Source organism: Homo sapiens, chromosome 8 (assembly GCF_000001405.40).
Source record: "Homo sapiens chromosome 8, GRCh38.p14 Primary Assembly".
NCBI classification, from domain to species: Eukaryota; Metazoa; Chordata; class Mammalia; order Primates; family Hominidae; genus Homo; species Homo sapiens.
The window spans coordinates 62,741,147-62,768,018 of NC_000008.11; the positions used below are offsets into that span (position 1 = coordinate 62,741,147).

At 37.7% G+C, this 26,872-nt stretch overlaps 1 protein-coding gene across 5 annotated transcripts in view, besides 1 other annotated feature; it reads left to right on the forward strand.

Annotated features, from left to right (window-relative positions):
• NKAIN3 (sodium/potassium transporting ATPase interacting 3) overlaps positions 1-26,872 on the forward strand; it is a 750,799-nt gene that overhangs the window by 492,293 nt on the left and 231,634 nt on the right. For 4 of the 5 annotated variants that reach the window (NR_130764.2, XM_017013359.2, NM_001304533.3 and 1 more), the window contains exon 4: positions 5,786-5,983. Coding sequence is in view for 4 of the 5 variants with exons in the window: in XM_017013359.2 (XP_016868848.1) it covers positions 5,786-5,983 (198 nt within the window). In the remaining variant the exon portion in view is untranslated. Of the gene's footprint in view, positions 1-5,785; positions 5,984-9,193; positions 18,753-26,872 lie in introns of those variants that run through there. The other variant, XM_011517512.3, reaches the window with a different exon arrangement.
• Positions 1,742-1,921: an enhancer, noted in NCBI's record as "active region_27448". NCBI's record gives its function as "activates an Ori minimal core promoter by ATAC-STARR-seq in GM12878 lymphoblastoid cells {active_cell/tissue: GM12878}" and the evidence as "EXISTENCE:reporter gene assay evidence [ECO:0000049][PMID:35858748]".

Below are 26,872 nucleotides of genomic sequence, written 5' to 3' on the forward strand. Positions count from 1 at the left end.
TAAGAAAATTTAGTAGTCTTTTTTAGGAGACTTTGAGTCTATGACGTTACAGACTTACCTGAAATTCTCTTTTCTATTGTCCTTGAAGTTCTGAACACTGCACTCCAATATATGCCATTCTGGCATATTGATTGTTTTGAGTTAAAGAGGAAGTGGGAAGGGGGAGAGGGAGAAAGAAAAAAAAAGAATGAGTGAGAGAGAAGAAAGAGAGAGAAAGAAGGAAGGAAGGAAGGAAGGAAGGAAGGAAGGAAGGAAGGAAGGAAGGAAGGAAGGAAGGCAGGCAAGCAAGCAAGCACACTCCAACCTTCCTAAAAGCAGGAGATAAAACTCCCATGTGGAATGTCTTCTCCCCTCCACTGGAAGAAGGAAGACCTTCTTATCACCAGAGTTGAAGAGTCGAGGCTGAGAGAAATCTCCACCAACAACCTGTATTAAACTAACCCTTATCTTCCTAGCCACTTCTCTGTAAACAACTACCTCAGCCCAAGCCCCCTTGCTTTGTTACATTTTCACAATTTACCACTCTTTTTCCAAATAAGTATATAAGTTGTCAACTCTAATTGCAGCTTTGTGTTTTTATTTCCTTATGATGGCTCCATGTCAGGTAAAACTGATAATAAATTTGTACGCTTTGCTCTCCTGTTAATTTGCCTTGTGTAAATTTAATTCTCAGGCCCAGCTAAAAACTCTAAGAGGGTAAAGGTAAAATTGTGCCTTCCCTACAACCTTAACATGCTGTCTTGTCTCTAGGCTGCCCTCACACCTCCCAAACCCTCCTACTTGGTTTTATTTTTGGGTTTCTCTGTTTTCTCTTTGCCCTCTTCTTCCTTATTCTACAAACTATTCCTTGATCATCACGTATGTAAAGCAGGAAAAATAATTTTTTCTCTACCCTTCTGAGTTCTTAGCTGGGACTCTTTTTCACAAAAGGCAGATTAATAAGAAACTTGAAACAAGCAGAATTTTATTAACATGTATATCTTATATATATATATATATAGGTGATACTCAGGACTAAAAGACTAATTCTTAAATAGGTGGCTTAGAATTCAGGCTTAAATAACATCTTCAACTGAAAACAAAGAAAGAAGAGTGTGGGGCAGGCTAGTTATAGGAAACTTATGACAGATAAAAACTAGTTAGTAAAGTTCATTATGTAGATTTCTCTGATGCCCTCTCCAGGATGACAAAGGTCTAAAGTAATCTCAGGTAGTTAACTTTAGTTTTTACTGGTAGAGAAGGAAGGAGGGACATCATTGTAAATTTATGTCTTGCTTTTAGGCAAATAGGAAAAAGACAGAGAGATCTGTATATATCTGCTTCTTCTCAGTTGCCTTCAGCTCAAAAAATCCTCATGCCAAAGTGGAACATTTTGGGGTGGCATATTCTGCTACCCTGGACATATGCTTGCATAAATACAAATGCCATTGTTTATATCTTTTTAACTCTAAAGACAAAAGCAAAGACACCAGTTGTATCAGTTGTCAACCTTCTCAACTGTGATGTGCTTAAATCATCACACAGTAGTCTATTTCCAAGAAGTAAAAGAGAAATGGCATTTGAACTACTGACATTATTTTTAAGATTAATTCATTGATTTATGGTTTAGCATTAACCCATTGTATTAGTCTGTTCTCACACTGCTAATAAAGACATTCTAGAGACTGGATAATTTATAAAGGAAAGAAGTTTAATTAACTCACAGTTCAGCATGGCTGGGAAGGCCTCAGGAAGCTTACAAACATGGTGGAAGGGGAAGCAAGCTCATCCTTCTTCACAGGAGAGAGAAGAATGAGAACCAAGCAAAGGGGGAAGCCCCTTCTAAGACCATTAAATCTTGTGAGAACTTACTCACTATCACTAGAATAGCATGGGGAAAACCACCCCTATGACTCAATTACCTCCAACAGGTCCCTTCCACCACATGTGAGATTATGGGAACTACAATTCAAGATGAGATTTGGGTGGGGGACACAGCCAAATTATATCACCCATGTATTTCAAAACTACACACTTTGATGTGGTAACTAAAAGCTTCAACAATAAAGTGATTTGTGTTTCTTTTTCTGTATAAAATGTTATTTTCTGTGTGGTGTTTCCTTTGATATACCTTGTATAGAAAACTGAGTTGTCATGTGGTAAGTTTAAAAAAAAATGTTTCTAATCTAGTACTGAAATAGATAGAAATCAGACACAAACTTTAGATAAAATGTTACAGTGTAGGTGTGGAAAGGGTGTGATACTTTTTTCCCCGTTGAAAGGGTCACAGTCCACACTCCTAAAACAAAAGAGAGGTTAACAAGAGAAAAGCATTATAGATTTATTCAATCAAAGTTTTACATGTCATGGGAGACTTCAGAAATGAAGACTTAAAGATTCAGGGAAAACTGTCTATTTTTATGTTTTGATTTGATGTAGAATGCACAACCATGTAGAAAGAAGAACAGACTCAGGCATGGTGGCTCATGGTCCTAGCAATGGTCCTAGCTATGCAGGAGTGGGAGGCAGGAGAATTTGCTTGAGTCCAGGAGTTCAAGGATGGAATGAGCTATGTTCTCACCACTGTACTCCAGCCTGGTCAACAGATGGAGACTATCTCAAAAATAAAAAATAAATATGATTGAACCAAAAAAGTAGGACCTAATGGTAAGAGACTGAATGGGGAAACCCAACAAGACCTGTCTGCTCAGATTCTTCTTGGCTTCTCTGTGTGGCATTTCTTCTTCCTAGGTATAGGGTAAGACCTTTCTGGAGTAACAGTCTTATGTCTACCTTTAGACAAGGTAAGTCAGAGAATTTCTTTATTGCTAGCTCTTACACAGAAAGGCAAGTGATAGAGTAATATTTCTAGATTTTATGGCCAGCTGTGGGAGAAAAGGGTTCTGGTTCGTTCTGGTTCTATGACCTGTCTTAGGGAAGAGGAATACTAATTTCTATGGCCTGCCTTGGGGAGAAAGGAAAGCAGGAGAAAGAAGGGCAGAAGAAGGTTAGAAAGAGACTTTCCTTCTGAAGTTCTTCCAGTGTCCTTCATGTTCAAAGTACTCAGCATGCCAAATCACTATATTTGGGGGTGTCATTTTCAGAGCTCCCACACAAAAAACTTAAGAAGTTTGAAGTTTAAGTATAATTTAATGTTATTTATATTCTCATTCAAATTTTAATATAGTCATTGTGAGGAATAGTACCATTTATAAATATGTTATAGTTCCAACAAATTTAATGATACCTATGCTGAAAGGTTTTATGAGTGTAACAAATATGTATGATTAGTTCATAAATTGACTCTTGTTTTATTTGTATAATATAAATTTTAGTTAAAGTCATACTGAAGTGAACTCACAGTCTGCAATAGGAAAGGTCGCTGGGTAAGAATGCTTAAGGAATGGAAATCGCTATGAATTTTGAGATCATGCTAGTTCATCTCGAACCTGGTGAATTCTATTAAGATGAGAAATAATGTATAGTTCTTCTGTAATGAGCACATCTAACTGTAAGAAATTAAATCTGATGACCAAAAAAGGGAGCAATCAGTGTGCATCTCTGATGTTTGTGTGCAGGTAAATTGCCTTGCGTTAAACTGAATTTGGTAGCTGAAGCAATTATTTCTCTATAATATTTTCCCTTCAGAGAGTAACTGCAAATGATACAAGTAGCAAACCAACAACCAAAAAAATGACCTAAACGTTTTATTATCAATAAAGTGCTACAACTGTGAAGGTAACTGAATAGAAAACCAACAATCAAAAGGAAAAAGGCATAACATGTTTTATTATTGATATAATTTGAGGCATACTTATAATGATACTTTGAATTCCTTGAATTGAAGAAAATCGAAAACTGCATAGTAACCCTGCCTACTTATATGCACTGGGAATGTTACTACCCTTGTGATTCACTTACCATATACAGCAGTGTAAAAAGAGGGTTTCCCTACTGTCCTTTTCAGAGAGCTCCACCCTGATTACTTTCAGTGCCACCCATGTGTAAGTTCAAGGCTTTCCATTTCCCACTAGCTTCCTCTAAGTTTTCAGAGTTCCAACCTCAATTTCAGGCATTTAGGTGTCTCCTTGGCAACTGAAGTGGACACTGTCCTCAAAGGAACCTTGGAATGCACTGACGTGTGTCAGTTGTGCTGCATAGTCTGCGGGCAGCCTCTGCACCTCTCAGCAAAAGTCACGTACGGACCCTGCTCCAACATGGCCCCCTGGCACTAAGACAGAGCTCACTGTTGGAGGGAGTGGAGGCTGGAAAATAAACAAAAGCTGACTCTGCTCCTGCATCCCCAGCTACCCTGCAGAGCAGTGTCCTTGCCCGGGGACTGCTTTGGCCTCTCTCCATCACCACTACTTCTTCTACCCAATCTACATGGGTGGTTGCAGTCTTTGGATTATTTGGAAGTCAAGGTCCTGGTCCCTAATCTGTTCTTTTCAATCTATTGTTTATGACCACAACATTATGATCTTAGCCCTTCATACATTAACACCCCAGAAATACTAAAGGGCATCTCTTAAGGATCAAAAACCAGGCTATTTTTTCCATTAAGAGCTCTGAAAGTGTATTTTGATATACATAAAAGTTAAGGTTTGTCTTCTTTGTTCTTGTGATTGACTGTGGTGCCATTTTCTTGAAACAACTGAGGAGGAAGGACCTGGCTGTCTTCAGAGTATAAGGAATGATCAGGGCTTTGGAGGGGGAAGACAGCAAGTAATGTGAGAGAGTGCCGCATTATAGCTAAAAGTAAACACTGCACAGGATTACATCCCAGCTCCACCACTAACTAGCTATGCTACCATGGACAAATTAAATTACCTCACTGTGACTTACTTTTCTCACCAATATTAGTTTCTCATGACTGCTTTAACAAATCATCACAAAATTGATAGCTTAAACCTCAGAAATTTATTCTCTCACTGTTCTGAAGGCCAGAAGTCTGAAATCAGCTTCACTGAGCTGAATTCAAGGTCTTGGCAGGGCCAAACTCTCTCTGAAGCTTTAGAGGAGAATTCTTCCTGGCGTCTTCCCACTTTTGGTGGCTGGCAGCAATCCTTGCTGGCTGCCACATCCCAGTCTCTGCTTCTATGGTCACATTGCCTTTGCCTCTTCTACCTTGTGTCTAATCTCTCTCTGCCTCCCTCTTATAAGAATATACACGATTGCATTTAGGGTCCACTCAGATAGTCCATGATCATCTCCCCATCTCATGATCCTAATTTAATCACATCTGCTCAGTCCTTTATTGCCTTATAAGGTAAAATTCACAGGTTCCAAGGATTAGAAGCTAAGTATCATTGGTGGAGGCAATTATTCAGCCTGCTATAAATTAGCTTGATCATTAAAGTGCCTACATGAACATTCAAGAATATAATATGTGAAATTCACTTAGAACAACATCTACCATGCCATAAAAGCATTCAACAATATTTATCCTATGATAGTGATATTCATGATGTTGCAGCAACAAGAAAATGCAGACAAAAGTTTCAAGGTAGAAATTATTTTTAAATAAATGTATATGGAAGATCTCATGTCTGGATTTTTTAAATATATGTTGCCCTTAAAATGTTAATAGTAATCAAAGGATTATCTCCCCATTGAATAACTATAACCCAATAGTTTAGGCATATAATACATGCAGCCACTTGGGGCTTTGTCTTTTGTTACTTTTCACTTGAAATTGAAATCACTGTAGCAATTTCATCTACCCTGAATTCTTCCTAAGGTCAAAGTCAAAGACGTGATGTAATACAATTTCCTCATTTTGCTCTTTTGTCTCCTACCCACCTAGGACACCGATCTAATGACATTCAATATCTCTGTACATCGGTCATGGTGGAGAGAACATGGGCCTGGTTGTGTCAGAAGAGTGCTGCCTCCCTCAGCCCATGGCATGATGGACGATTACACGTACGTCTCTGTCACAGGCTGCATCGTTGACTTCCAGTACCTGGAGGTCATCCACAGTGCTGTCCAAATACTACTCTCTGTAAGTGTCACTTTTGTGTCATTATCTAATCAGAACTCTTCTTTGCTGGCATTTTTTTCTCCACATCTACCTGATAGAAAATGCCACAGATAAGCACACAGAGAACATCCAACAGAAATAGAAGCAATTATGGTACCACTAGTTATACCTGATGGCAGGTTACACCTTTTTTCTCTTGGTATCTAGACATTTTGTATTTAGAAGCAGTTAGTGACTATCATTTCTAACTTAAGATACAGTCCACACTATTCAATGAAACAGTATCACCATCCACCAGAAGTGGTCCCTTTTCACTTAACTACCTCAGGCTCTTCTACTAATGCATTCTTCGACTAATGCACCTCAGTTCCAGAGAAAGAAGGATGGAAACACCCACAGCCAATGGCTTGCTTGGTCTAATAAACCTGACATTTCATTTATTCCTTAAAAAACAAATCCCACTGGAGACTCTTCGCATTTTAGTGCCTAAAATCTGGCATCAGAATACAATTCCATATACAGAAACGAGAAGGAAATGATGTGATTAGTCCACAGAAGGTTAATGTGCCAGGGATTCCTTAAAAGTAATTTTATTCCACCAGACTGCCCCACTCACAGTTTGACCACAATGAAGAGTGGAATTAATTTAAGGATGTATAACATCATCAAGAACAATGTTCCTTTCAGACCCGAAAAGGACTTATCATTTAGTTTGAGTCAATATCCAATAAAGCCATTCTCAACCCACTCTTCACATAAACCAACCATCTCAGTTCTGTTCAACTGAGCTTAGCTTAGTAGGAATAAGAGACACAGACTCAATAGTAAATAAATAGATAACACAAATATGAGTGGTTATGTCAATGAAGAAGGTACCTTGGAATTAATTCTAGAAAATCTTTAAGAAATCCTTGCTATCACTTACTGTATTCATTATCTACTACTATGTAACAAACCACTCCAAAATGCAATTGCTTAAAACAATATTAATTTATTGCTTAGAGTTCTGTGCATTAGGAATTTGGGCACATCTCAGCCAGGTAGTTCTTCTGCTTTATGTGGTATTAGATAAGGTCACCCATATAAACTCCACACAATATTGGCTAGGGTCACTGATGTGAGCCTGTCAATCTTGAGCTTTGCTGGGACTGGAATGTCCAAAGAGGCCTCACTCACATCTCTGGTGCTGGCTGTTGGCCCCATTCTCCTGCACATGCACATGGCTTCTCTTTCTGGGAAAAAAAAAAAATTGACCGATTCTCAGGCAACAAGGTAGCTGAATAATAAAAGGTGAAGTCAACACGCAAGCATTTGTCAAGCCTCTACGTGAGTAATGCTTGCTATTGCTTCGTTGGCTACAGCAAATCTATGACTCAGCCTGTAGTTAATGTGAGAGGGGGCTATCAAAAGGTGAGAAGACAAGGAGGCATGGCTCTTCTAGGGCCACCAGTGTAGTGATCTTACCTCATTTACTCAATCTACTATTTACTATTCTTGAATTTGCATGTCTCAAGTTTTAAAATGATGTTTCAGAGCACATTTGAATTACAATCTTCTAGAAAGACTAAAGATCTGAATAAAACAAAAATCAAAGATCTTTTAGAGTTCTAGTTCAAAGAAAGGCAAATTTGATACTGAACTCAAAGAAAGGGATTGCACCTTGATGGGAAGGAATTTCTTTTCAGACATGCAACAGGGAATCTGATCATTCTAGGTTTCTACAATCATATTTACAGGTATAAATATAATATACAGTCACTTGCCAATATATGCTTATCAGTCTTTTCTTATTCTCTGATCCTTTGTTAATGTAGCCATTACATACAAAATTGTGGCAAAATATATATGTTTAAATTTTTGTCTTGAAAAAATGTGGAGGCAAATTTTCTTTTAAAAATGTGTAGGCTATTTTAAGTTATAAAAGAACTCTATTATCCTATACTAGATACTAACAGTTTTTATTAATCATCTTGAACAATGAAAATGTTTTTCTAAAATCTTTCATATGTGGACAGATTACTCTCCTTTAAAAAATTATCGTAGCAAATTGCTAAACCATTTTGTGGAATGATAGCATGGCCAGACCTTTACAATGCAGCAGGACGCTTGGAATCCAAAAGTCATTTCCCCATAGTAACTCCAATTCAAATGAACAGCAAGTATTTATTTGATAAGGAGCTGGAGTGTCACATAAAAACATTCCCTAAAGGACAATCTAAATAAACTGTATGTGTTGCCACCTAAAAGTACTTTTCCCTTATAAATGAATTTCTCCACGTGTTATTTTAGTAAACATTCAAAGCTACCACCCTGCACATATAGCTCTATACTCTTCAGCCTTTGAGAAATAAAAGATTAGTTGCTGCTCACTGACTTTTCTTGGAACACACCTGCAGGACAAGATTTTTAATATTTTATCTTTTTATATTAAAGTAAAATATATCAAGAAATTGTTTCACAACTATCCAATTATGTATTAGTGGTGTGACTGATTTTTGTATGGGTTTCTTGTGTTTGTCACTTATTTTATATGATTATGTATACTTATTAGAATTGTGCTTTTTTCTTTTCTTTTTTTTTTTTTTTTTTTTAAGACGGAGTTTTGCTCTTGTTGCCCAGGCTGGAGCGTAATGGCGTGATCTCGGTTCACTGCAACCTCCGCTTCCCAGGTTCAAGTGATTCTCCTGCCTCAGCCTCCCGAGTAGCTGGGACTACAGGTGCACGCCGCCACGTCCAGCTAATTTTTTGTATTTTCAGTAAAGACGGATTTCACCATTTGGCCAGGCTGTTCTTGAACTCCTGACCTCAGGTGATCCACCCGCCTCGGTCTCCGAAAGTGGTAGGATTACAGGTGTGAGCCACCAAGCCTGGCCAGAATTGTGCTTCTTAAACATTTGATTCAGGAGAATCCTTCTTGTTGCCCAATATGTGCTGAAATGTTTACCTTATTACTGAAAAACAGGGGTGATGGTCGCAATATTTAACAGCCCGAGGGGCGTGGGCAACAACCAAGCAAATAGAGGGGCAGCTTCGAGAAAGGGCAGGGGCTCGGCGGCTCTGCTGCAGGGAATTACCCCTTTCATTACTGGAGGCATAGAAATATCTAGAATAACCTAGGGGAGGGACTGACGGAGGTGGCCAGGAAGGTGATTTCGGGGAGCGACTCTCCACCGAATGAGAGGGAAGTATTTGAGTGCTTTGACCACCGACACATCTCCTCCATGAATACAGCCTGAGCAAGTGCCTCGCGTGAGTGGAGCTTGGAACTGGAAGAAAAGTCACCTCTGTCATAAGCATTCCACAGACTGTGTACATGCTTGACGGAAACGAATACAATTAACTGGACTCAGAAAGGCGAAGACGGGCGGGGTTCCTTACCAGGCTGTTGCTTGGGGCTCAGGGAGCATCCCCACTCTCCACCGCCTGTGCCTTGCTTGGCGCAGAGGCCCCCAGCTTCTGCCGGCGCCTCTGTCCCTGGGAGGCGGCGGGGGGTGCCACGTGCATCCTCCCCCGGCTCTCAGGCTGAGAACGACAGGGAGAGTGCTAGGCACAGAGAAGGTTCTTGTTGTCCTAAAGTCACCAAATCCTGAAGAAGAGTTCCTGCAAATTGTCAGCAACACCAAGGTGAAAATCAGCGCGGAATCCATAGAAAGGTTGTGGATGGTATTGTGGGGGAGCAGCAAAATGCAATCCATGCTGGAGTGGAGAAGTCAAAGACAAGCAGACTCCGGCCCTGGGATGGTGAGTCCCCCGCTCTGTGCCCACTGCCCGTCTCTGTTCATATGCTCATCACTTCTCACCTGAAGCTGGCCAGTAACCTCCTAAATAATCTTCCCCACCAAGTTTTGCCCTACACTTCATGCATGCCTCCTGCTCCCTGTAAGATGATCACAAAGCGCAAATCTTATCAGTCACGTTCCTTCCGATCACCCTTCAGTGATTCTCATCACCTTCAGGATGAAATCTGAATTCCCTACTGTGCAAGGGAGGCCCTCGTGACCTGCGCCAGCCTAACTCCCACCCTCCCCTTCTGGCATCCAGCAAAAGAACCCTTCCTGTGCCATCCTCAGGCAGCGGCCTGCATGGAATGGGTTCTCCCCCAAGTCCCTTCTCCCTCCTACCCCACCTGGGCTCCTTATCCACCTAGCTCCTAGCAGACATCTTCCCCCAAAACACCTCAGGATATGTTAATTTAATTTTGTTAAGTAGTTAATACATATACTTGGTTCGAAAACATACAAATGTATACATTAAAACCTCTGTCCGGCGTTTGGGCCCCATATGCCTGGTTCTCCCATCTCTGTTTCCAACAGGCATCCAGTTTTACTCTTTTTTATTTATTTTTGTACATGAGTCCAAAGTGCCTTTATGCAAGTGCAAGAAAATGTGACTATATATTCTTATTTGCTCCCCACACAAGCTAACGTATGATATGCACTCTTCTGAGCCCTTCTTTTTATTCTTATGTATTTTGTAACTATTTCCTTATCAGTACTCAATGTATCATTGTTTATTTAATACTCTTCTATTAAATATATTGATGGACATTTGGACTCTATCCAAATATGAAAATAACTTCAGATGTATACATAACACATCTATGTGTGCATATATATACTATAGCGAGTATAATATATAGATAGTATGTGTTACATATTATAATCATATGTCATATAGCTATTATACACAATGTTATACTAAAAAACTGTGTGTGTGTGTGTGTGTGTGTGTGTATGTGTTACTGAGAGCATTTCCTAGTCCTCTCCCACTCACTCCCTCAGGCTGTACTAGATGCCCTGACACCTGAGCACACTATAATCATTGAGTTTCTATTCTATCTACTGGAAGGAAAGCTTCTTGCAGGATAGAATTGTGTTCTTTTTTCACTTGTTCATGTCTGTGGTTTCAGCAACTAATGCAGTGATGGCACATAAATATTTGTTGAATGAATAAATGATCAACAAACAAGAGACTCTGAAGTCCCAAAAGGGTGAACACAAAAGGAATCTATTGAGCAAAAACCAGCAGGAGTGAATGCATGGACAAGATGTAGGAGCCAGAGTGAAGATGCCCTTCATCTGGGAAGTTAAGAGAATGTCAGTAAAATGTTCTGTGCAGGGCATAGCACAGAAGCATTCAATACATACTAGTTTCACATTGCTATTACTAATGTTATTATTACACTGCCCTGTGCTTGTCCTTATCCTATTTAGGCTGGTCCGTCTTTTGAAGGCCAAAGGGCTCCATTCTGGTGGCACTCCATCTACTGAATTCTCATTTCTTTAATCCCACACCAGACAACTGTTTCCTGCATGAGAACATAATTCCTGTGATCTTCATAGGACACGGCAATCATAAATCCCTATTAGGAGGGCTGAACTTTTACTTAATATGTATGTATTTTCCTCAATCTTGTTTCCCAGAATTCTTTCCTACCTGTGCCTCACAAGAGCATTTGTTGGACTGAATATATTCTCATATTTTCATGAAAAAATATCAGAATTATTACAGTGGAACAAAGATTTCAGTAGCCTGTCAACAGCCAGTAGTGTGCTCCTAAAAGCTACTCTTTAACTTCTTATTTATCTCCCATTAACTAGAACTGTACTGAGTGCAGAGTGGCCACTCTTTCATAGTTATTGAGTAAATTGTTGTATACATTTTCTGGATTTTAGATTTACAAAACCCAAAGTATGTAAAATTTTTTTTAATTGGAAGTAATTTAATGAGGCTATGTCTTGATTTTATTTTATACCATTTGATAAAAACTATAGAGAAAACATACTGTCAAATTATTTCTGATGCAGACGCAATTTGTTTGGATTGGTAAGGATACCTAGCTACAGGAAAAGGGACAGTCAATCTGCTCCAAGATTGTAACTCTATCTTTGAATTTGTTCTTCCGCATGTTCTTTATTTTGAGAGTTATTTTAATAAGTTTAGACTACCTTAGTTGCTTTGCTTCCAGTGGGGGGATTTCAAAACAGTTTCTGGTGAAAATTAAAAACTATGTCTAGTTGAATTCTAAGCACTGTATTTTAGGCATTTTTAAATTACATTCTTACTCTGGGAATTTAATACCACAGATTTAAAGAGGATGCACACACACACACACACACACACACGCACGCACGCACAGTATAGCATTTCCTTTTTCTGCTAGAGAATGTGAATAAAGTATTTCTGCTTGAAATAATCTCTATTATCAATTAATGTCATCCTACAGTGCTGTATTTTACTCATTTAGCACCCGAACATCTGAAACATGAAAGCTTACAAAACTGAAATTTAAAAGTAATTTTAATATTTGTATCACATGTGGCAAAGAAAGGGTCATTATTCATAATACACAATGAGATCATTTAAATTAGTACTAAAACCATGAAAATTTAGTAATTAATTCAATGAACAATATGAACAAATGTGTTCACATAAGGGAAAAACATCCAAATTGTAAACAGTTTGGTATAAAATATAATTATTGATACTAACCTGATGTATGCAAGTTAACTTTGAAAAAATTATTTTCACTAATTTAGCAATTTGTAAAGATAATGTTAAATAGAATTGTAATTCACTTATTGGTAGAAGCAGTCTTTGTCTCAAAGACTATTAAAATGCCCATAACTTTTGGTCTTGTAACCCCACTCAATGGGCTTTCTTCTAAGAAAATAATTCAACAGAAAGAAACAGCTACCTGCATTATGTTCATTTCAGTGTTATTTATAACAGCAAATCTGGATATGTATAAATATATGCAATTAAAGACATGGTATAACAATTTATAGTACATCAACTTGATGAATAGAAAGTAATAACTATGTTAATTTTAAGACCATATATAAAACATGAAACAGTTTTTTATGATTCAAGTACATAATCCAGGAAGAAAGTTCAGATACAAAAAGATTTAGAATTATGGATATGCCTTCCCAAAAAAATGTTTTTACACATTGTATGATATTTTAAATAATACTATTTAATTATCATATTTGTATATTTGATTTGTATAGAAAATCAGAAGAGATGTTATAGTTGCTTTTCTTAAATTATCAACCAATCCTAAATCTCATAACTTTTATTTGATCATTTAGAGGCACTCATAAATCTTAGTTACTATAAAATATTTCATTTTAGTGGACTGCTCAGTTCTGGGGTTAATAAGTCAATAATATCCAATTTAAGTCCCTTTTTAATTTTCAGTGTTAGTTATTTACTGGTAAACATGGATTCATATGCTCATGTTGATTAGTGCACACACACACACACACACACACATGCACACATATAAAGGAGCTCATTTTTATAACTAGTAGAAAAATCCTAATCTCCAAACTTGGAAAAGAGTTTTAAAACTCACCTTATTGATTTCTCTTTGCAGCTAATTTTACACATATATTGTCTTGAATCCTCACTGTCAATATATTCTCCCTCATATCTGATAGGTGACAAGTCACATTCTTTAACAAACCTTTGGAGGTTGTCACCATGGTCGGAGCTGGGGTCCTATGAGAATTGTTTTTTCATCATCCCTATGCCTTTTGCATTGTATCTCTCTGTTCACATCAACATTTGTCACTGTTCTCTGCCTTTCATATCGGACACATTCAGCTTAATGATAAATTAAAACTTAATAGAGAAGGGTAAAAAGTAATATTAGACCACAAGGTATCCTGTAGAATCTTTGTTCTCCAAAGGCTGTATAGCTATCTGTTCATATGCTTATAGAATAAATTGCACAATGTCAGAGTAGACAATACTACTGTTGCTTCAGTAACATGCTCACAGAGTGCAAGAATGTAAGTCAAAAGACAGGTGAAACTGAACTTTTGAAATATATCCCAATTGCTTTTAATTGTACCTCTCCAAAAATGTAAATATAGTTAAAAGATTTTTTTAAATTTCTGTGTTAACATTTGCATTTATTTAACAAACTCAGCATGCTCTTGGAGCTGATCTCTGTGCTTTTCAAATATGAACTCACTTAATTCTCAAAATGACCCATGAGGGTAGTGTTATTATAGTCATTTTATATGTGTGAAAACTGAGACACATGGAGAAGTTAAAAAATGTGCCCAAGATCCCACAGCTTGTGAGTGAAGGTGGACCTCAAACCCTGGCAGACAATTCCTGGTCATGTGAGAAAAGAGGACTTCTCCTTGCAACACCTTGCAGGGTTCGGGGGTAAACTCTGTCAGATCCATAAAGCTATGAATCTCCTGTTAGGCTGATGGGATTTAATTGCAGCTCCACTATTAGAAAGTAAAAATAAAAGTACAATTATGTCTAATAGTTAAAAGATTGGCAAATAGTTAAAAATGTTTCCTTTCACTCTTGAAAACATCTCTCAACAGCCTTTCTGATCATTGTTGTTTATTTTTTAAATGGATTATTTCAACATTTGTCAAATGCTAAATATATTGGACTCTTTTTTTTTCTCTTTTGCTTGCTAGCGCTTTCCAGGGTCTAGTAAGAGGAAAGAAATCATGACCAACCTCTCCTGTCCCAAAAGCCTCCCAGGATTACCCTTTTACCAGAAAATCTATTTTTATATAAAATAGATGGCTTCTGCTCATACCAAATTTTGAGCTGCTTCTAAGTGCTAGATAGAACTATTAAAGATTTAGACTGACTTACTCACTATACACCATCTCTGGTCTCTATATTCAGTTCCATGCTCAGAAAAGTAAAGCAACAGTTTATCTAAAGTTCCACTCACCCAAGGAATCATTTATTGGATCATCACAATATTGAGAGGGGTTTATGGTTGTGGGAGAATTTCCATGCCAAAAATATTCAAAGGGCTTTGGCAGAAACATTTGTGTTCAGAAGCCAGGGTACACCTGGTCAGTCAAATTGTTGGGGCCTGGAACTGTCCATTTAGTGAGCTGTGATTTTAAATCACTTCATTCTTTGTATTTGTGTCTATGCAGTATACTCTCTTGGTGAAATGTGTATACATTTTTGTCAGACTTACTGAAATATGATTCACATACCATACAATTCATCATTTTAAAGTGTACAATTCAATAGCTTTCAGTCTACTCACAGATATGTGCAACCATCACCATGGTCAATTTTAAGACATATTTATCACCTTGGAAAGAAAGCACCACCCCTTAGCTATCACAACCTGTGCATTCTTCTCCCCAGCTCTAAGAAACTACTAATCTAATTTCTGTCTCTATAGACTTGCCTCTACTGGATATGTCATATAAATGTGGTCTTTCGTGTTTGGCTTCTTTCACTTAGCACATATTTTTAAGGTTCACCCATGTAGCATGTATCAGAACTTCCTTTTTTATGGCTGAATAATATTCTATCATACATTTACTCTTAATATCTCTGCCTGTTACAGATATATGTATAATATTTAGCAAAATTTTCTGAACTAAAATTTAAATTTAGTTAGCCTTCACCTTCCCACTGATAAATTCTGAGAGGAATTTAGGCAATCCACTGTATATTTTATCTACATAACGTCATATGTTCATCTTTTGGAAACATCTGCGTTACAGATAGCAACTGACAGCTCTTACACGGATGCCTGGTCTTATATAAATCCAATATTATGGTTATCTATCTTTTGTCCACAGCATCTATGGGTTTTAACAATTTAAAGCATGTGAACATTTAAAGCTTATATTCCTCTTATACCATAACACTCTCCATAACAGTATGCATATGATTAGTATTTTTTCTATATGCCAATCAGTTATCCCAACCACAAATTTTATGCCATCGCTAAACAACAGAATTCAGTCTCTTGAGCCCTGATGCTCATGATTATCCCAGACAGACATGTTTGTGCATCTTCATAAATTATTACTGCCTTACTAGTTTCAAATAATCTCCAAATATTGATTATTAAATGCAAACATGAGTTATGACATTTGGTAAACTTAAATATTGTTTCATCAGAGAAATGAAAAACTTAATTAGAAATCGTATCTAGTACAAAAGCCATTAACATAGAAAATCTGAGATCCGTTTAATAATTAATCGAGCCAACATGGTGACTTAGGGCTTATGGAAATATTAGAGGCAAGAAAGCTAATTTTATTGGTGCATTACTTGGGATAATTTAATGTCATTCAGAGGGTGGCAGATTTTTCACTTTTAGCCTTAGGTTAGAGTAACTATTAGATTTTAAAAAGTAGCTTTTCATAATAACGAGAGTTCATTCAAATAGATTTCCATGTCACTTGAAATTACCAATTTGTATAAATTTCATTAATAAAATTTTATATCACTTTTTGTAATCTTTCTAAATGAAAACAAGCTGTTTCATTCATTCAGCGAAACATATTCAGAAGCCCCTACTCTGTAAGAGCACTATGCTGAGAGCTCAGAGACGCAAGGATGGAGATCAACTAAACAAGGTTGAATTGACGTGGTCCTTCCTGCTGTACCTTCCAGCCGGCCGTCAAAGTGCCATAACTTAGGACAGAAAATGAGAGTTCTAAACTTAATTTCTCAGTGCCATGAGAACTCATAGAAAGAAGTAGTGTTCAGAAAAGTTGTGATATTTAACTTCCATCTAAGGCGTTCACTCTTGGATGGGAAGAAGGGAAAAGGAATTCTATACAGAAGGAACAGCATTAGCAAATAAATAAAAATAAGAAGTCAGAGGAATAATGAGTGCAGTGCCCTTTGGCTTGAGCAAAGTGTTTATGAACAGAAGTAGTGGCTTAAAGCTGGAAAGAAAGGTTGAAGATAATGATGAAGGGGCTTGAATGCCAAGTGAAGGCCTTGGGCCTTTGCAGTAAGTCAAATAAGGAACTATGTTTCAGTTTGTAAACAGGTGACATATATGGAGTCCTGAAGTAAGGAGGCTATTCTGAATGGCATGTGCAGGGTGGATCAGATATGCAGAAACAAGTATTAGGATATTCCTAGAAAGCTTGGACCCATTCTCCCCAGAGTGCCCTGGAAATACCTGTCGCAGAAATTCAACCTCGAGGAGGACTTCACAGTGACATAAGTTTGACTGGCATCATGTTATACCACTTCTTGGAGATTCACTATGTGAATTAACACATTAAAATTCCTGAGAAACTTTGCTGTTAAAAAACAAAACAAAAAAAACTCACGGAAAACAAAGTGAGAGACTCTGCCAGATTAAAGGAGACTGAGGAAACACGACAACTAAATAAAACTTGTGACCCTAGACCAAAAAACAGACATTAATGAGACAACTGTTGAAAGTTGTATAAGGTCTGTGGATTAGATAACAGTATTGTGTCAATGTTAATTTCCTGGTTTTTATAATCATACTGTGGCTGTATAAGATGCTAACATTTGAGGAATATGGGTGAAGGATATACAAAAATTCATTGCATTATTTTTTCAAATTTTTGGTAAGTCTGAAATTACTTCAAAATTAAACTTTAAAAATATTTTTATAATTAAAAGTATAACTGCATTTCCAATCAATTATCTAAGATAAACACTTTTGGAAATACTCCCAGGAAAGACAGGGGAATTTATATCCACAGAGCAGCTGGGAGAAAGAGCTGGGTTGACAGAGTAAATGAGTTCAGAGCTGGGTTGACAGAGTAAATGAGTTCAGATGTGGACACATGATGAATCTTGGCACCATTCTTGCCCTTAACATATTTTAGGTACATATACATGTTTTAAACCTAGTTACCTACTTGAGATAATGAAATCCCCTCTCTTGCTCTTTCAGTCAGAATGGTCCCTATTGCAATGACTGACTGGGAAAGGGAAATTAGAGACAGAATTATCCAAATAATTCACAAGAATCCCAATATGAATTTTTGAGAACATGGTTTATTTCATATCTCCACATTATTCAGAAGTAAACAATAAACTTGGGATTCTTCACTTAATATATGGTCCCTGGAGATTCTCAAATGGTTCCTCAAACCCTAACACTCTAGTATTATCAGTAAAGACATAGTTAATCACACTCTTTTTTCTATAACCTGTAAAACAATGAAAACACAAAGTAATCTTTTAAAAATTACATTCTCTTAACCATAAAACAATAACCACATCAAAATTATTGTCTGAATTTTAGTTTTTTATATAAATGGATTTTTGGTGAAAACTTATTTAATATGATACCTTACTAATTTAATTACATAGAACCTTCATGGATGGGTTGTTCTGGAGATCTAAATAAAGGATTAGTCTTGAGTGTGAAAACTTGCTAAATTTTAACAATATTTAATTTAGTAATGGTAGAAATCAATTCAATGATTTGTAATGGTAGAAATCAATTCAATTCTCCATTTCTTCATCAATGGAGTAATAGGATTAGAAATGTGCCTAAGTAAGATGAATTATGTAGCAGTTGCAGACTATATTTCAGGGAAGATTTAGAGTCAGAACAGTCCTGCAGATAGGTGGGGGCTTATAAAGCCTGAGCTAGAATAGCATGAAGAATGTGGAACTAGAGAGACTTATCAGACGGACATCAAATCATGAGAACATGGTCATTAATTGGATAAGACAGCAATTTAAAGAAAAATCCCAAAGATAATACTCAGATTTTGAGCCTAGGTGACAAGTGAAATTGCAGTAATGCTGCAGAAAGAGGGAAATAATGATTAGAAAGTACATAGGCATGGGCAAGGACTTCATGTCTAAAACACCAAAGCAATGGCAACAAAAGCCAAAATTGACAAATGGGATCTAATTAAACTAAAGAGGTTCTGCACAGCAAAAGAAACTACCATCAGAGTGAACAGGCAACCTACAAAATGGGAGAAAATTTTTGCAATCTACTCATCTGACACAGGGCTGATACCCAGAATCTACATAGAACTCAAACAAATTTACAAATTTACAAGAAAAAAACAAACAACCCCATCAACAAGTGGGTGAAGGATATGAACAGATACTTCTCAAAAGAAGACATTTATGCAGCCAATAGACACATGAAAGAATGCTCATCATCACTGGCCATCAGAGAAATGCAAATCAAAACCACAATGAGATACCATCTCATGCCACTTAGAATGGCGATCATTAAAAAGTCAGGAAACAACAGATGCTGGAGATGATGTGGAGTAATAGGAACACTTTTACACTGTTGGTGAGACTGTAAACTAGTTCAACCATTGTGGAAGTCAGTGTGGCGATTCCTCAGGGATCTAGAACTAGAAATACCATTTGACCCAGCAATCCCATTACTGGGTATATACCCAAAGGATTATAAATCATGCTACTATAAAGACACATGCACGTGTATGTTTATTGCAGCACTATTCACAATAGCAAAGACTTGGAACCAACTCAAATGGCCAACAATGATAGACTGGATTAAGAAAATGTGGCACATATACACCATGGAATACCATGCAGCCATAAAATATGATGAATTCATGTCCTTTGTAGGGACATGGATGAAGCTGGAAACCATCATTCTCAGCAAACTATCGCAAGGACAAAAAACCAAACACCACATGTTCTCACTCATAGGTTGGAATTGAACAATGAGAACACATGGACACAGGAAGGGGAACATCACACACTGGGGCCTGTTGTGGTGTGGGGGGAGGGGGGAGGGATAGCATTAGGAGATATACCTAATGTTAAATGACGAGTTAATGGGTGCAGCACACCAACATGGCACATGTATACATATGTAACAAACCTGCACATTGTGCACATGTACCCTAAAACTTAAAGTATAATTTAAAAAAAGGCACTGGGAGGTAAACTTTAGTCATTTCATTTAATCTATCACATAATTAAAAAATAGTTTAATTTTAATTTAAGGAAGAGAGTCAAAGAATTATTCCTGGCAGTCAGGAACCTTAACAAATCCTGGGGTACAGGAAGCCTCTGCACCTGTCGGCAAGGTGGGGAGTTCTCTCAACGGGTAACGTCAGGTATTGCTTAGCACTTTACATCTACTGCATCCTACTTTTGCTTACTTTTGATTTACCTTTTCTATTTCTCCTAGTAGGTTTGTCCTAGAAGGATTTTTTAAAATTTTTTAATTTTTCTTTTCTGTTTTTTTACCACCTTGCCTTGGACATAACAGGCTCACAGTGTATACTGCATAATTACTAGCATATGAGACATTTATGTATAGGTAAGCAAAACTAAATGAACTAATTGTAGAGAGTCAAAAGTCAGGTGGAGGAAGGAAAACTGTGCTGCAAAGTAATGACAGCATGTGTTGTGTGCTCTGTAATTTACTTTAAATAATGTTCTGTGTATGCATACTGGGTTTGCTGCTTATCCTGGGGAGGTGGGGGAGGACGGGGGTGGATTGGTCAGTTGTGCTCAGCTCACACTTAGAGTATGCGAATCAGAAGGGTGGTTCACAGCTGAAGGACTCTAAACAAAAGCCCACATGTCAGAGACAGCTTCTAAAAGCTTTTAGCATCCACTCCCTGATCAACACCAAGAAGTGTTTACTTAGTATATTGAGTATCAGAAACGATGTTATCTTGGTCAGATGAATGGATCTCAAGTTAAATGAATTGACTGGATGTATTCTTCAGGCATTCCTAGTTGCTTTGCCTTCACAGAGCATCTGAATGCAGTGAGCTTCTGGCCCTATGCTTTGTTCAGATAATTGAGGATTCCATTGCCTGACTCCAGTTGGAAGTATGGCTGCATCTTCTATTAGAATATTGTCAGAAGCAGCTCTTCATATTGCCGAAAAGAACAGACAGCTGGGACTTTAGCAAGCTTGCAGAATAGGTTTTGTAACTGCTTTTATGCTGCTTGCTAATAAATATCGGTATGTGTTAAGACAGAGTTTATATTGAGACTTACTTGATTTCTGGTAGCTAGGTTGTGGGAGAGAAACAATTTGGCCCTTTACTTCCTCTAGATATCTACTCCCCCCAAAAAAGATGTTATGATTGTAAATAATCAAATTAGTTTAGTTAATATTTATCAGAATAGCCTAGGCAGACTTCTCTTAGGAAGTAGCATTGCTGGACATGGTAGCTCACGCCTGTAATCCCAGCACTTTGGGAGGCTGAGGCGGGTGGATCACCTGAGGTCAGGAGTTCCAGACTAGCCTGGCCAACATGGTGAAATCCCGTCTCTACTAAAAATATAAAAATTAGCCAGGCATGGTGGTGGGCACCTGTAATCCCAGCTACCTGGGAGGCTGAGGCAGAAGAATAGCTGGAACCCAGGAGGTGGAAGTTGCAGTGAGCCAAGATAAGGCCAGTGCAGTCCAGCCTGGGCAACAAGAGCAAAACTCTGTCTCAAAAAAAAAAAACAAAAAACAAAAAGAAACATGGCATTTGAGCTGAAATGAACTCATTTGAATACTGGGGCTAAGAATATTCCAAGGGAAACAAAAATTCATATGGGTAGAACTTAGCAAGTAAAGAAAAGAGTGATGGAAGATGAAATTAGAGAAGTAAGTAGATGTTAAAGAAGATGTGACACACAATTTAAGACATTAGGATGGTGTCACCATATTTTAACCAGAAGAATGGCATATTCTAAATTTAGGAAAGCAACTCTGGAACTACTCAAGAGAATGGATTGGAGAGAACAAGGCTATCACAGTAGACCACATGACAGAAGATGGTAGATTGGCTTTGGTGGTAGCAGCAGAAATAGAAATGCCTAGACAACAGTTCTTGCAGGAAAAGAGGAAGTGGTATGTTAGGTAAAGGAAAAAAGAGGATGAGGCTTAGGTTTTGGATCTGAGCAACAGGATAGATGATACTGCTGCTTACTGAGATGACAGAGTTGAGAGATTTTGCTCCACTGGTAGCTTGTATCTTTTTTAAACTTGAATAAAAAGTACAGTACAAACACAGACTAAAAAAAAAATTCAATAATTAGAGAAATCTTTCTAGATCTATCAAACAACTTATATAGGCTGGGCACAGTGGCTCACACCTGTAATCCCAGCACTTCGGAGGCCAAGGCAGGCAGATCACGAGGTCAGGAGATCGAGGCCATCCTGGCTAATATGGTGAAACCCCATCTCTACTAAAAATACAAAAACTAGCCGGGCATGGTGGCGGGCGCCTGTAGTCCCAGCTACTCAGGAGGCTAAGGCAGGAGAATGGCGTGAACCCAGGAGGCGGAGCTTGCAGTGAACCGAGATCGAGGCACTGAACTCCAGCCTGGGCAACAAGTGCGAGACTCCGTCTCAAAAAAAAAAAAAAAAAAAAAAAAAAAAAAAAAAAAAAAACTTATATAGTCAGCCTAAAAAGAAGTATCATCTAGAAACAGAAAGTATGCCTTCTCAGATTGGAAAACCTGGCTACTCCAGTGGTTCGGAATTGATTGTCATTTCATAATGGCTTAAAGCAATTAGTGTGTATCAGCATTTACCTTTGACTAAAAATAAAACTGCTAACAAGAAAGCTACAGGGAAGTGGTATTCTTTATTTAAATTGATTAATGTAAACAGCTCTTTCATTTAAAATTGATTTACATAAATTCAAGAAAATATTTGCAATACACAATTATTACTTAGTAACAAAGATAATCAGGAAGTCCTGCAGACAATGAAACGTGAACAATTAAAATATTCAGGATACACAAAGCTTTTAATTAATGAGCTAAACTAATCCAAATAAGCAGGGAACTGTGTTGTAAGGCTTGGCTATCATGGATTTTGAAGTCAATGATTACAAGAAGAAGAATCACAGCTACTGTTAAGAGTTAACGAAAGAGGAAAGAAATATGAAAAGCAGCTCAACAGTCAAAGACAGGTTTATTTTGGAGAATAAACCTGAGAGGGGCTTCTGGCCGATTTCAGTCAGGCACATTCTCTCTTACAGGCTAAGAGTATTTAAGGGTTCAGGGCAAGAAAACTTATCACAGGCTTGGAATGTGTCTGTGTGAAGGAGAAGTTTATTGAGGGGTTGTAATGTCTCTGGTCAGAGGGGAGGTTCGGGCTGACATCTCTCTGGTTGGGGAGGTTATATCAGGCTGGCATGTCTCTGGTTAGGGAGGGGTTTACCTTAGGTTTGGAATGTTTCCAGTTGGAGATGTCATTTGTGGTTTATGATTATGCCGACCTTAGCCATTTGGCTGATGCCCTTTGGGTTGGATTTAGATGGTTTTTGATCAAGAGGAACTTTAAAATGGCAGTGCCTGTCCAAGATGGTGATGTTCCTGCTCTGTCAGCTACCCTGTACTGAACATATTCCATGTGCCTGGTATCTTTCTTTGAAGTACTATTTTGCAGAATCTTCTTGAGAATAATGTGAGGTAGGCTTTATTATTTCTATATATGAAGAAACTGGGACATAAAGAAAATAAGTATTTTGTTCAAGGTCCTGTGGCCAGTGTTGGGGAGAGGGCATTAATCTTGGTTCTGATGTATCTCAACACTGCTGTACTTACTGAGGTTACTTTGTTAGTACATAGAATAAAAGGTAATATACAAATAAGTATTTTTTTTTGAGACAGAGCCTTGCTCTGTTGCCCAGGCTGGAGTGCAGTGGCATGATTATAGTCACTCCAGCCTTGAACTCCTGGGCTCAAGCAATCCTCCCACCTTACCTTCCTAAATAGCTAGAACTACAAGCGTGTGCCACCATACCTGGCTAGTATTTTCATTTTTTGTAGATACAAGGTCTCAATATGTTCCCCAGGCTTGAAATAAGTGCATTTTAAAATACATGCGTTGGAAAGATATTAGAGTTATAAAGAGTCAATTTGCAAATTTCGTCTGCTTGACAATGTCATACAGGTCAAAATCCTCAAATCATGAGATTTATGTGTCCTACATGTACTGGACAAAGAAAACAAATTCTTTTCAAGCTATTCTCATTAATGGAATTAACTATCAGAAGGAAAATCCAATTATCAGATAATTTTTTAGGTGGGGCTTTGGAAGATTATTCTGTGCTTACATGTGAACATGAAATTATGTCAGGTTCTCTAGGCGTGGTGGCTCACGCCTGTAGTCCCAGTGCTTTGGGAGGCCAAGGCGGGCAGATCACGAGGTCAGGAGCTCGAGTCCAGTCTGGCCAATATAGTGAAACCTCGTCTGTACTAAAGATACCAAACAAAATTAGCTGTATGTGGTGGTGTGTGCCTGTAATCCCAGCTACTCAGGAGGCTGAGGAAGTAGAATCGTGTGAACCCGGGAGGCGGAGGTTGCAGTGAGCTGAGATCATGCCATTGCACTCCAGCCTGGGTGATGGTGTGAGACTCCATCTCAAAAAAAAAAAAAAAAAAAAGAAAAGAAAAGAAAAGAAAAGAAATTATGTCAGATTCAGGTACTGGATGAAAAACAAATACGGAAATCAGAGCATGAGTGTGCAAATCATAGAAAGATTTCATTCTCTTATTTCTAGAACCCCTTCTCAACCTGGCTAGTACTTCCTTCAGCCCCTCTAACTTTCAGATTGATGGAAAGGACCTGCCTAAGCAGAATTCACCTGCCCCTAATCTAGAAAGGTGCTCTTTCTTGAGCAGATGTGGTAAATTCAGTTTTTATCTTCTTTCCTTACCACTGAGTCAGAATTTATATTTGTATAGGAGCTAGGGTATAAGAAAGGATGAGTCAACAATAATCCAATACCTTTTTATATAAGAAGTTAATTACATTACCTTGGTTAATCATAAAATCTGTCTTGATGTTGCAGATGATTCTATTAGATTTAATTGAATAAAAGAAAGCTTTAAATCATATTCGAGTAAATATGTACCAGGTATAAATTGTCAATATATAACTATAATTCTGTATGTGTGTATGCATATATAATTACTATAAATGAATTTTTTTCATCTATTAAACTCAGTATTTTATATTCCACTTCAGTACAAGACTTTCTATAAGATTAGTATTCATATTCAATTAATATTTCATTATAATTTTAAAAATATACTTTAAAAATACAATTAAAATTTTATCAAATCAAGCCAGAATATTTATTGCTGAGTTGTTTTGATGCTACTTTGCAAATTACTTGAATCTTTCTTGCTTGCTTTATTTCCATTATAGTCATCAACATCAAGTATTGATTGATTTACCTTTGGCCTAGCACTAAACCGGGTAGATTCCGTATCTCAATATAACAGATATAAAACATGTTGACACAGTCCTATGCTGATGATTATTGGTTATTAGAATAACACAGAGGAAAAGAGAAAAAATTATCTGACAACTATTAGTGGAGGCATATAATAGATTTTATGATTAATCAAGTAACGTAATAACTACTTTATTAACTCATTTGATGTTCCTAGCAATGTTATTATTAGCTCCATTTCACAAATAAGAAAACTAAGGCAAGAAAATGCTATTCGGCTTGCCTAGAATCATACACCAAGCAAGTGGCAGAACTGAGATTTGAAACCAGTACTCTGGCTCCACCAGGTGTCTGCTAAACACCCCCTCTGTATTTTGATTCTCTGATAAAGATTAACTTCAGAATTGGCTTCCAATAAGATATAAAAGACACTTCCAATTTTCTTTGAAATTTATGGGTGAGAGGGTTCCTAGTTGCTATTTTCCTGAGCCAGATGCTGAAATGAAGACTTGAGTGCAGATCATTGATGTAGGAGGTGATCCCAGGACACACAAGTGAGAAAGGAAGGAGAAAACCCAGGAAAGGGTAGGCTATTGAGCAAAAAAACCTTATCCACTATGAGTGACAGGGCTCAATTCCCTGGAGATTTTCCCCTCAATTTGGAGTGTGTACTATATAGCTCAGAAATTCCTCACTGAGGGGCAAAGAAGCTGGAGTATTTACTTGTCCACCAAATCCCATCCCTATTTTGTTGAGGGCTTTCTAAGAACATTAAACCTATGACATTCCAGGATGCCCTGGTTTGGGCTTGAGCAGGTTCCCTTGGGGACAGAATAAGCCTCAGCCCCACCCCCCGACCCCGGCGAGCATCACAGTAGCCAGTATGTAGGAAAACTGTCCATTATAGCTTCAGGTTAACTTGCAGATTGGCCATGAGAATAGGGAGCAGGGAATCCAGCAAGGAGTAGTGGACATCTATTGTCTTTGCCTGCCAGTTTCCATTCCCCTAACTTTTTATAATAGTACCTCAATTCCCTTTTAGTTAGAGAGCTACACACTTAATTCTTTCCCTCCGCATGGTGAAGGTGGGTTCTCATTAGGATGGAGCTGACCCCACTATCCTCCAGGCTCTGGATTGGACATGAGACACAGGAATTGTCAGTCAGCATATTTCTTGCTTTGGATCTAATAGTTGGCTTAGGAATAGTCATATGAGATAAACTGGTCCCTGCATTTCAACTCAATGACTCTTAACTATTGGAGAAGATAAATTCTCACCTCCCCTCCAAGGCTGCTGAATTAGGAGGGCATACACCTGAAGAGGCTGGTGACCACCTCATGGAAAGCACCTACAAGAGAGGAAAGCAGGGCTGTAAAACAGAGAGACACACGCAGATACAGACAGGCAGACAGAGGATCCAGTTATGCTCAACCCAGCTCTACCCTTGGACTTTTCAATTACATGAGTCGATAAACTCTTTTTTTTTTCTTAAATCAGTTTGAGGAGAGTTTCTCTTACCAGTATTATTTCTTCACCAAAATGTTTTCAGTGTCTACATAGTCTCTTAACTTCTGAGTATTTTTCATTTACTTAGAAGCTTAGGATTCTTAATTGAAATAGACATTTAAAGTCTGCTAGACCGATCTTCTCACAACGCAGGAACATCATCTACAGCTGTGCTGTCCAATGTGACAGCCACCAGCCTCATGTTGCTATAGAGAGAAGGCATGTGGCAGGTCCAAATGAGAGTGCTTTAAGTATAGAATGCACACTAGATTTGGAAAACTTGGTACAAAAAAGAAGATAAAATATCATACATAATTATTCTATATTGATTATATATCTTAAAAGTCTTTTGGATATATTGGGTTAAATAGAATATATTATTAAAATTAATTTTACCTGTTTCTTTAAATTTATTAATGTGGCTACTAGACAATTCAAAATCATATATGC